The following is a 12,119-nucleotide window of genomic DNA, read 5'->3' as shown; positions in this document are numbered from 1 at the left end:
GACTACAGGCACCCACCACCATGCACAGATAGTTTTTGTGTTTTTAGTAGAGACGGGGTTTTGCCGTGTTGCCCAGGCTGGTCTCAAACTGCTGTGCTCAAGAGATCCACTTGCCTCGGCCTCCCAAAGTGCTGGGATTACAGGCATAAGCCACCACACCCAGCCTATAATACTTTTGAATAAGATTTGACCTCAGTATTTCTTATTTATTTTTATGTGAAATTAGTTTTCCTGAACTTTTAGAAAAAGCAATAGTCAAGGTATTTTCTATGACTACATCAGTCTCTTCTGTTGTGTCTACATAGTGTTAAAAATATAGTGGCTTGCTTGCTTAGATTTCCTAGTTCTGTTTCCCTTGCTCCATTTTTACCTAGATCAGCTCTTTACTTCATCTTTATTTTTCCTGTTCCGAGCAGTTTTTATTCCAATCCCAGCTTTAATCCTGTCTAGTTATAATCTTCATATTCCTATGTTAGAGTTGTTGTAAGAGATCACTTTGGAATTTTATAAGTAGTATTTTTAGCATTTATTGACAGAATTATGTGATCTTTGTCTTTAAAGTATCCTTCATTTATGTTGACAGATTTCCTACTTTTAAACTGTGTGCACTGAGAATGTTTGCATATATATATATATATATATATATATATATATATATATAGAGAGAGAGAGAGAGAGAGAGAGAGAGAGAGAGAGAGAGAGTCTCACTCTGTCACCTAGGCTGGGCACTGCAACCTCTGCCTCCCAGGCTCAAGAGATTTTCATTTTCAGCCTCAGCCTCCCAAATAGCTGGGATTACAGGCACACACCACCACCCCTGGCTAATTTTCATATTTTTAGTAGAGATGGGGTCTCACTATGTTGGCCAGGCTGGTCTCGAACTCCTGACCTCAAATGATCCACCTGCCTCCAACTCCCGAAGTGCTGGGATTACAGGCGTGAGCCACCACACCCAGCCACATCTATATTCTTAAGTGAAATTGGTCTATAATTTTTTAGGCCATTTTACGGACTTTAGGTCTATAATATTTTGGGAACTTACTCATCAGATTTTGTTATTAAGGTCATGTTTGCTTTATAAAGTGGCTAGCAATGTTTTTCAACCATCTGGAATAATTAGAATAACAAAGTTTCCATTTTGTTAAAATTTGATAAGGACTCAACAGTTCTTCTATCTCCTGGGCCCACACTAGACTAGAGTTCTCAGCTTTGCTTGTTGTTAGGGTACCATGTGACTGAGTTCTGGCTAATGGAACAGGGCAGAAGCAGATCCTTTCCAGACCTGAGGCATAGGAACCTTCAATTTTCCATCCTCTTTGCATCTTCTTTTGCAATGACCTTGGAACCATCTGTTAAAGATAGTAGATATCCATCAACCAATGAGTGGATAAAGAAAATGTGAGATACCTATATATAAACACACACACACCATGGAATATTACTCTGCCATAAAAAAGAATGAAATAATGGCATTTGCAGCAACCTGGATGGAGCTTGAGACCATTATTCTAAGTGAAATAACTCAGGAAAGGAAAACCAAATGTCATGTGTTCTCACTTATAAGTGGGAGCTAAGCTATGAGGATGCAAAGGCATAAGAATGATAATGGACTTTGGGGACTTGCGGGGGAAGGGTGGGAGGGGGGTGAGGAATAAAAGACTACACATTGGGTACAGTGTACACTGTTTGTATGATGGGTGCACCAAAATCTGAGAAATCACTAAAGAATTAATCCACGTAACCAAAAACCACCTGTTCCCCAAAAATGATTGAAATAAAGTAAACTAATAAAAAAATAAAGATAGTAGACACATAAGATGGGAGTAACATGGAATCTTGAAATACCATTGGGAGATTGTCACCTAACAATGAGAAACATTGTTTTGGTCTTTATGTGAGTAGAAGGTAAACTTCCATTGTGCTAAGCCCCTGAGATATAAGGAGGGAAGTTACAGAAGTTAATATTACCTTATTAATAGTATAGAGAGCTGTAAAATCATCCAGAGTTGATACATTTCTAAGTCATGGATTTTCTAACAGTTTAATTGAGATATAATTCATATGCCATACAATTCACCTATTTAAAATGTACTGCGCAATTGATGGCAGTGGGTACTTCAGATGGCTGGGCCAGCTGCTATCACACTTGCTGCAGCGGGGATGAGCCATGGGGTTGCACCTCCATGGAGCCAGTGGGAGCCAAAAACAAGTGGGGGCCCTGCTCCTTCTGAGTTGCGGTGGGAATTCTCCAGGTGCCACTGCAGCCACCCAAACTGTAGCTGCAGACTCAGGCATCACTGTACTCTTGGGAACCCGGGAAGGACTCACTTCCCTTGCAGGCTCAGAAGTGCCTGCTCCCACTGCCTGGCTTCTCCCTGCTGTTGGCACCCACTCCAATCTTGGAGAAAATCTGGCAGAGCCGGGGCACCATGAACAGCAGACAAATTCCTGGGCAGAAGGGGGCGGATTCCCAGTGAGGCCCCACCTTCAGGCCAGGGAGGGTCTGAAAGCTGGGGGCTGGGTTGCCGGTCCCACGGACTGGAGTGGGAACTTGTGGTGCCTTTTCCAGGCCCGCCTATGGCTGCCCATGGACCGATCAGCATATACTTCCTCCCCTCTGAGGCCCATAAAAGCCCTAGGCTTAGCCAGAGCTGAGCATGAGACGGGGCAAACAGCTGCAAAGAGGGGCAATCTACTCCAGGGTCTCCTCTCTGCTAGCAGCTCAGCATTCTCATCAGGGCACCCTCATCAGGATACCCTGGCTGCGGAAAGCAGCTATCCTCTGTGGGGCTTCTGTGAGCTGTTCCATTGCTCAATAAAACTCCTCTTCACCTTGCTCATCCTCCACTTGTCTGCATATCTCATTCTTCCTGGTCACAGGACAAGAACTTGAAAGCCACTGAATGGTGGGGCTAAAAGAGCTGTAACCAATAGGGCTGAAACTGTAACACCAACAGGGCAGGCCCCTTGCCTGCCATGTTGTGGGTGAAGAGGAGAGAAGAGCTGCCACCCTAAAAGAGCTGTAACACCAACAGGGTTGAAACTGTAACACAAACAGGGTGGGCCCCTTGCCCACCATGTTGTGGGCGAAGAGGAGAGAAGAGCTGCTGCCCTTTAGGGAGCCCAGACCTGGGAGCTCCCCAGCCAGAGCTGGGTATCCCTCTTTGGGGTCCTGCAGTGCCTGGCGTCTCCAAGTTTCCAGGTGACACTGCATTCCCCAATGCCAGCCAGGGAAGCTGCTTGCAGTGCGCCTGCCCCAGCCACAGCGTCACAGAAACATGGCACCTGAAGCTGCCTGCCCCGCGGCAGCAGCCAGTGTCCAACTGTGCACAGTGACCAGACTCCACGCTTGCTCACATACTCCTGGCCGCTCCACACCTGATTGGCCCTTGGTAGGCATGGGATCCGGGCGGATAGCATGAGTGCAGTGCGCCAGGCCAAGTGAGCCCGAGCAAAACTTGGGCAAAAGCACCACTGGCCACAGAGGTTTCCAGCCAGAAGAGTGACACCCCAAAGATCCCCCAACACAATGGTTTTTAGTATATTCAGATATATATAACCGTCATCAAAGTAAATTAAAACATTTTCATCACCTCAAAAAGCAGCTCCATATCCTTTAGCTGTCACCCCCCTAATTTTCCTATCCCCACCCACAGTCCCAAGCAATCATGAATCTACCTTCTGTCTCCATAAACTCTTATGCTACACATTTCATATGAATCTAAACACATAGTTCTGTGGTCTTTTGCAATTGGCTTATTTCATTTAGCATAATGTTCTAAAGCAAGCTTGTCTGACCCATGGCTAAAAGGTTGCATGCAGCCCAGGATGGCTTTAAATGTGGCCCAACACATATTCCTAAACTTTCTTAAATTTTTTTTTTTTTGAGATGGAATTTCGCTCTCGTTACCCAGGCTAGAGTCCAATGGTGCGATCTCGGCTCACTGCAATCTCTGCCTCCTGGGTTCAAGTGATTCTCCTGCCTCAGCCTCCCGAGTAGCTAGGATTACAGGTATGCACCACCACGCCCAGCTAATTTTGTAGATTTAGTAGAGACAGGATTTCTCCATGTTGGTTAGGCTGGTCTTGAACTCCTGATCTCAGGTGATCTGCCTGTCTCAGCCTCCCAAAGTGCTGGGATTACAGGCATGAGCCACTGTGCCCGGCCAACTTTCTTAAATTTTTTAGCTCATCAGCTATCACTAATGTTAGTGTATTTTATGTGTGGCCCAAGACAATTCTTTTTCCAACGTGGCCCAGGGAAGCCAAAAGTTTGGACACCCCTGTTTTAAAGGTTCATCCAGTGCTGTAGTATGTATTAGAATTTCAGTACCTTTTATGGCCAAATAACATTCCACTGTATGGACATAACACAACTTATTTATCCATTTGTTCATTGATGAACATTTGGGTTGTTTCTGGTTTTTGATCACCATGAATAATGTTGCCATAAACATTTGTGTACAAATTTTTCTGTGAACATATGTTTTCATTTCTCTTAGGCATATACCTAGGAATAAAATTGCTGTGTCATATGGAAACTCTATATTTAATCATTTGAGTAACTGCCAGACTGTTTTTCAGAGTGGCTGCACTATTTTACATTCCCAACTGCAATGTATAAAGGTTCCAATTTCTCCATATTCTCACCAATGCTTGCTATAATCTGGCTTTTTTTTTTTTTTTTTTTTTTTTGAGACAGGGTCTCACTCTGTCACCCAGGTGGTACAGTGGTGTAATCATGGCTCATAGCAGCCTCAACCTCCCAGTCTCCAACAATCCTCCCATCTCAGTCTTCTGAGTAGCTGGGACTACAGGCATGCACCACCACACTGGGCTAACTTTTATTTTTGTAGAGACAGGGTCTCACTATATTGCCTTGCTGGTCTCGAATTCCTGGGCACAGGCCATTTGCCCACCTCAGCCTCCAGAAGTGCTGGGATTACAGGCATGAGCCATAGTGCCCAGCTATCTGGCTTTTTCATTCTAGCCATCCTAGTGGATGTGAAGTAGCATTTCATCGTAGTTTTAATTTGCATTTCTCTGATGATGTTGACAATTTGGCGATTTGTTTATCTTCCTTGGGGAAATATCTTTTCAGGTTCTTTGCCCAATTTTTAATTGAGTTGTCTTTTTATTATTGAGTTGTACTGAGTCATAGACTTTTAATCACATTTTAATCTTGCATATGGTTACAGACCTATTTGCGATATTTTTAAAATTAGTTTTGATAACATAATCTTCTAGAAAATGATTCACTCCTCTAGTTTTTTCAAATCTACTGCCATAGAGTTGCACATTATACTCACCTATAATTCTTTTCATCTCTTCAATATCTGTGGTTATATCATATCTCTTCTTCCTAATATTGTATATTTTAGCTTCTTTTCTACTCTCTCAATCTTATCCGGGCTTGTTTGGGGGCGAACTCTTTATCTTTTATAGAAGATAAAGTTTGGTTTTATTAAATTTTTTCACCAATTTTTCTTTTCTATTTATTTCAATATTTATCTTTTAGAAATTCCCTATAGTGTCTTGTCTATTTTATTCCTTTTATTATTATTCTTTTCTTCAGATACATCAGATAGGAGCTTAATATTGTTCATCAGTGTTAATCATCAGTGTTTCTTTATCTTAGGTTGAATAGTTTTTTTTTTTTTTGAGACAGAGTCTTGCTCTGTCTCCCAGGCTGGAGTGCAGTGGTGCGATCTCAGCTCACTGCAGCCTCTGCCTCCCAGGTTCCAGCAATTCTCCTGCCTCAGCCTTCTGGGTAGCTGGGATTACAGGCGCACACCACCATGCCTGGCTAATTTTTATATTTTTAGTAGAGACGGGGTTTCCCCATGTTGGCCAGGCTGGTCTCGAACTCCTGACCTCAGGTGATCTGCTGGCCTCAGCCTCCCAAAGTGCTGGGATTACAGGCGTGAGCCACTGTGCCTGGCCAGGTTGAATACTTAATTAACTTTGTTTAAAGTCTTCTTTTTTTTTTTTTTTTTTTAAGAGATGAGGTTCTTGCTATGTTGCCAAGGCTGATCTTGAAGTCCTGAGCTCAAGCAATCTCTCATCTCAGTTGCACCAAAATACTGGGATTACAGGCATGAGCCTGGTTTAAGTCTTTTATTCTAAATAAAAAAAAATCTTTATGTCTATATATTTTCTTTAGTGAAGAGTTTTAAATGCATCCTGTAAGTTTTATATAATTTGTTCTCCTTTTGTTGATAATTTTAAATTTCACATTTTATGAACTCTAAAAATACAGAGGTTATTTAATAGTGTTTATTCATGCCTGTAATCCCAGCACTTTGGGAGGCTGAGGTAGGAGAATCACTTGAGGCCAGGACTTCATGAACAGCCTGGACAACAGAGCTAGGCTTGTCCCTTTTAAAAAAAAGATGTATATAGGCCAGGCACGGTGGCTCACACCTGTAATCCCAGCACTTTGGGAGGCTGAGGCCGGCGGATTGCCTGAGGTTAGGAGTTCGAGACCAGCCTGGCCAACATGGTGAAACCCTGTCTTTACTAAAAATACAAAAATTAGTGGGGCGTGGTGGCAGGAGCCTGTAATCCCAGGTACTTGGGAGGCTGAGGCAGAAAAATAGCTTGAACCTGGGAGGCAGAGGTTGCTGTGAGTGGAGATTGCACCATTGCACCCCAACCTGGGTGACAAGAGCGAGACTTCGTCTCAAAAAAAAAAAAAAGATGCATATATATATATAATCTTGTTATTTTAATTATTCAACCCCAATTTCCTTGTCTATTTTTTTTGTCTACTGAATTGTCGAATTCTGAAATTTATGTTTAGATCACCCACTATGATTGTAGTTTTCCTTTTTTTTTTTTTCTAGTTTGCAAGTTCTGTTTGTAGCTTTAAAATATGTTATTGTGCTTACTTAACTGCTGCATAGTTTGGCACATGCAGGCTTATGGCTGTTTTGTGTTCTTCACGAAGAAGGAGTTTTTCTAGAAATGGGTATTGGATTTGATCTTTTTGTTTGTTTGTTTTTTGTTTTTGTTTTGAGACAGAGTCTCACTCTGTCACCCAGGCTGGAGTGCAATGGTGCAATCTCAGCTCACTGCAACCTCCGCCTCCTGGGTTCAAGCGATTCTCATTCCTCAGCCTCCTGAGTAGCTGGGATTACAGGCGCACCACCATGCCCAGCTAATTTTTGTATTGTTAGTAGAGACGGGTTTCACCATGTTAGCCAGGCTGGTCTTGAACTACTGGCTTCCAGTGATCCACCCACCTCGGCCTCCCAAAGTGTTGGGATTATAGGTGTGAGCCACCATGCCCAGCTGGATTTGATCTATGGATACGCTATAACTAAATCTCCTAATACTGAACCATCAGGACTGAGGGCCACACTGATTTTGTTAATTTGTGTGTAACCTTTATTTCCTACTTATATTCTGAGATAATTCTTTTTTATTCCTGAAACATCATAAAACAGAGATGTTTATGTTAAAATACTTATCAATATATATCTAGTTGTAGATTTCCTTCTTTAAATTTTGTTGAATACAGAGTGAATCCTGATTCTACACATTCACCCCATCCCCTTTCCTTTGACAAGTCTAAAAGTATAGAAAAAGGACCCCAAATAGCCAATCCAATCCTGGCAAAGAGGAATAAAGTTGGAGGGCTGACACTTCCTAATGTCAAAACTTACTACAAAGCTACAGTAATCAAAACCATTTGGTACTGGCCTAAGGACAGACATACAGACCAACTGAATAAAGTACAGAGCCCGGAAATAAAACTTATTTATGGCCAATGAGTTTCCAAAAGGGTGTCAAGGATGTTTGTTCATCCAGCGCCTGACAATCCACAGCCATGGCTGGGCCAGGGGCAGCTTTCCACCGGCGTGGGTGCCTCGTCCAGAGCTGGGGCCCTTGGCTTGGCTTCCTATCGGGTACATGACACCCAATTCCCAGATGCCTCTGGGAAGGAGCTCTTTGACAAGGCCAACAAGTACCACTTCTTACACAGTCTGGCCCTGTTAGGGGTGCCCTCTTGCAGAAAGCCCCTTTGGGCCAGGTTACTGCTAGCCTCTGGAATGACCTTATTCTTCACCAGCTTTTACTACCAGGCTTGGGGTGGAGACCCCAGCATCCAGACTTTGGCCCCTGTGGGAGGGAGCCTGCTACTCTTGGGCTGGCTTTCTTTGGCTCTTTGAGTTCCCTTTTGTTTAATTACTGGGTTTTGGGGGCAATTTTTTGAGAGTTGGAGCAGAAAAAGGATTAAAAGGGAAAGGCAAATAACAAACAAACAAAACAAAATGGTGCCCAGACCATTCAAAGGAAAAAGGACAGTCTTTTAAATAAATGGTGAGAAAACTGGATATCCACATGCAAAGAACAATTACTTTACCCCATATACAAAAATTGGATATACACAAAACTCAAAATGGACCAAAGACCTAAATGTAAGAGCTAAAACTATAAAACTCTTAGAAGAAAACACAGGGGAAAATCTTCCTGACATTGGATTTGGTGATGGTTTCTGGGATATGACATCAAAAGTACAGGTGACAAAAAAAATAGATAAATTGGACTTCATCAAAATTTAAAACTTTTGTGTATCAAAGGACACTATCAAGCAAATGAAAAGACAACCTGCAGAATGGGAGAAAATATTTGCCAATCATATATCTCAGCGGTCCCCAACCTTTTTGGCACCAGGGACCAGTTTCATGGAAGATAATTTTTCCATGAATGGGGGTTGGATGGAAGGGGATGGTTTCGGAATGAAACAGGCATTAGGGTCTCATAAGGAGCATGCAGCCTAGTTCCCTTGAATGCACAGTTCACAATAGGGTTTGCATTCCTATAAGAATCAAATGCCACCACTGATCTGACAGGAGGCAGAGCTCAGGTGGAAATGCTTGCTCACCCGCTGCTCACCTCCTGCTGTGCAGCCTGGTTCCTAATAGACCATGGACCAGTACCTGTCTGTAGCCTGGGGGTCAGAGACTCCTGATATATCTGATAAGTGATTGATATCTAGAATATATAAAGCATTCCTACAATAAAAAAAAAAAGCAATCTGGTTCAAAAATGGATAAAAGACTTAAATTGACCTTCTTTTTTTTTTTTTTTTTTTTTTTTTGAGACAAGGTCTTGCTCTGTTGCCCAGGCTGGAGTGCAGTTGTGGGATCATGCCACTGCGCTCACTGCTCACTGCAGCCTTGACCTCCCCAGGCTCAAGTGATCCTCCTACCTCAGCCTCCCCAGTAGCTGGGATGACAGGCATTGCCACCACACCCAGCTAATTTTTTTTGTATTTTTAGTAGAGACAGGGTTTTGCCATTTGTCCAGCTGGTTTCAAACTCCTAGGTTCAAATGATTTGCTCACCTCAGCCTCTCAAAGTGCTGGGATTATAGGTGTGAACCACCATGTCTGGCCCCAAATTAACTTTTCTTCAAAGAAGATATACAAATGGCCAATAAGCACATGAAAAGATGCTCAACATCACAAGTCCTTAGAGAAATGCAAATCAAAACTAGGACATACCACTTCACACCCATTAGGTTGGCTGTTGTATCAGGGTTCTCTAGAGAAATAGAACCAATGTCATATAGAGAGATATACAATAAAGGAGATCTATTACAGGAATCGGTTAATGTCATTATGGAGGCCAAGAAGTCCCCAGTCTGCCATCTGCAAGCTGAAGAACCAGAAAGCTGGTGATGTAATTCAGTCTGAGTCTGAAGGCCTGAGAAGCAGGGAGCTAATGTTGTAAGTCCTGCTCTAAGTCTAAAAGGCCAAGAGATAGGAGCACCGATGTCCAGGTGCAGAAAAAGATGATGTCTCAGCTCAAGCAGGAAAAATGAATTTGCCCTTCCTCTGCTTTTTTTCTTTTATTTTTAATTGTATTTATTTTATATATTTATTTATTTATTCATTTTTGATACAAAGTCTTGCTCTGTCACCCAGGCCAGAGTGCACTGGTGTGATCTTGGCTCACTGCAACCACGCCTGGCTAATTTTTGTATTTTTAGTAGAGACAGGGTTTCTGGCCATGTTGGCCAGGCTGGTCTCAAACTCCTGACCTCAAGCGATCTGCCCGCCTCAGCCTCCGAAAGTGCTGGGACTACAGGTGTGCACCACCACACCTGGCTAATTTTTGTATTTTTAGTAGAGACAGGGTTTCGCCATGTTGGCCAGGCTGGTCTTAAGCTCCTGACCTCACATGATCTGCCTGCCTCAGCCTCCCAAAGTGCTGGGATTACAGGCGTGAGCCACCACACCTGGCCTCCTCTGCCTTTTTGTTTTATTCAGGCACTCAAAGAATTGGAGGATGCCTGCCCACGCTGGGGAAGGAGATCTTCTTTACTCAGTCTACTGATTCAAATGCTAATCTCTTCTGCAACACACTCACAGACACACTCAGAAATAATGTTTTACCAGCTATCTGGGCAGCCCTCAGCCCAGTCAGGTTGACACATGAAATTACCTATCACAGCTATTGTCCAAAAAAAAAAAAAAAAGGAAAATAACAGGTGTTGGCAAGGGTGTGGAGAAACTGGAATTCTTAGGCATTGTGGGTACAAATGTAAAACAGTGCAACCACTATGGAAAACAGCTCAGCAGTTCTTCAAAAAGCTAAATGTAGAATTACCATATGACCAGCAACTCCACTTCTAGATGTATACTCCCAAAAAGAACCAAAAACAGAAACTCAAACAGATATTTGTAAATCAACATTCATGGCAACATTGTTCATAATGGCCAAAATGTAGAAATAACCCAAATGTCCATCAATAGATAAATGGATAAACATAATGTGGTATATGCATACAATGGATTTTTTTGTTTGTTTGTTTTTGAGACAAGGTCTTGCTCTGTCGCCCAGGCAGGAATGCAATGATGCAATCTCGGCTCACTACAACCTCCACCTCCCAGGTTCAAGTGATCCTCCCACCTCAGCCTCCCGAGTAGCTAGGACTACAGGCATATGCCACCACGCCTGCTAATTTTTGTATTTTTTGTAGAGATGGGGTCCCCTATGTTGCCCAGGCCAGTCTCAAACTCCTGGACTCAAGCGACCTGCTTCTGCCTCTGAAAGTGCTGAGATTACAGGTGTGAGCCACCAACCCAGCCAGAAATATTCCTCAGCCATAAAAAGTAACAAAATTCTGACACAAATGCTATAACATGGGTGAATCTTGAAATCACTATGCTAAGTGAAATAAGCCAGGCATAAAAGGACAAATATTGTGTGATTCCATTCTTGTGTGGAGCCTAGAAAAGGCAAATTCATAGAGACAGAAAATAGAATAGAGGTTACAAGGACTGAGGGAGGGGGAAGTGGGGATGTATGGCTGAATGGGTGAAGAGTTTCTGTTTAGGATGAAGAAAACATTCTGGAAATGTATAGGGGCAATGGTTGCACTACATGGTGAATATATTTAATGGCACTGGACTGTACACTTAAAAATGGTTAAAATGGGGCTGGGCACAGTGGCTCATGCCTATAATCCCAGCACTTTGGGAGGCCAAAGCGGGCAGATCACCTGAGTTCGGGACTTCAAGACCAGCCTGGCCAACATGGAGAAACCCCATCTCTACTAAAAATACAAAATTAGCCGGGTGTGGTGGCACACGCCTGTAATCCCAGCTACTCGGGAGGCTGAGGCAGGAGAATTGATTGAACCCGGGAGGCAGAGGTTGCGGTGAGCCGAGATCACGCCATTGCACTCTAGCCTGGGCAACAAGAGCAAAACTCTCAAAAAAAAAATGGTTACAATGGTAAATTTTATGTTATGTATTAATATATTTAGCACAATAAAAAAAATTCACCAAAAAGTAGAGAAAGCTACTGAGAATAACATACATTTCCATCTATGGATATCCCTAATGAACAAATATTTACATTTGAACATTTTTGTTTCTGATTTTTAAAGAAAATAAATAAAGCTGTACAAAGTCAAATATCATTTGATCCACAGGCGCATTTCCTTTTCCCTTTACAGAGTCTCATGAATTTGATATATCTCTTTCTAGTTTTTATTTTTTACTTTTCTTCTTATAGACATCCATAAGCAATATATTATTTTTTTTGAGACAGGGTCTCCCCTCTGTCACCTAGGCTGGAGTACAATAGTGCAATCACTGCTCA

General features: G+C 42.6%; 1 protein-coding gene and 1 pseudogene across 4 annotated transcripts in view, besides 2 other annotated features; one reads left to right on the top strand and one right to left on the bottom strand.

Annotated features, from left to right (window-relative positions):
• The window catches only part of TSPAN15 (tetraspanin 15), a 98,044-nt gene that overhangs the window by 18,027 nt on the left and 67,898 nt on the right, over positions 1 to 12,119 (bottom strand). For 2 of the 4 annotated variants that reach the window (XR_001747072.2, XR_007061952.1), the window contains one exon: positions 1,229 to 1,349. Coding sequence is in view for 1 of the 4 variants with exons in the window: in XM_017016010.2 (XP_016871499.1) it covers positions 1,300 to 1,349 (50 nt within the window). In the remaining 3 variants the exon portion in view is untranslated. The remainder of the gene's footprint in view (positions 1 to 1,228; positions 1,350 to 12,119) is intronic. The other 2 variants (XR_007061951.1, XM_017016010.2) reach the window with 1 other exon arrangement.
• Positions 2,851 to 3,798: an enhancer, noted in NCBI's record as "H3K4me1 hESC enhancer chr10:71287440-71288387 (GRCh37/hg19 assembly coordinates)". NCBI's record gives its function as "activates a minimal SCP1, AML or CMV promoter by ChIP-STARR-seq in naive H9 embryonic stem cells {active_cell/tissue: H9 hESC(naive)}" and the evidence as "EXISTENCE:reporter gene assay evidence [ECO:0000049][PMID:30033119]".
• Positions 6,359 to 6,511: a silencer, noted in NCBI's record as "fragment chr10:71284727-71284879 (GRCh37/hg19 assembly coordinates)". NCBI's record gives its function as "represses an EF-1alpha promoter that drives an FKBP-Casp9 reporter gene in an ReSE screen in HepG2 liver carcinoma cells {active_cell/tissue: HepG2}" and the evidence as "EXISTENCE:reporter gene assay evidence [ECO:0000049][PMID:32094911]".
• Positions 7,823 to 8,259, top strand: TMEM256P1 (transmembrane protein 256 pseudogene 1; annotated as a pseudogene).

This window comes from Homo sapiens, chromosome 10 (assembly GCF_000001405.40).
Source record: "Homo sapiens chromosome 10, GRCh38.p14 Primary Assembly".
NCBI classification, from domain to species: domain Eukaryota; kingdom Metazoa; phylum Chordata; class Mammalia; order Primates; family Hominidae; genus Homo; species Homo sapiens.
The sequence above is the reverse complement of the archived record's forward strand: the minus strand, read 5'-3'. Positions and strand labels throughout refer to the sequence as shown.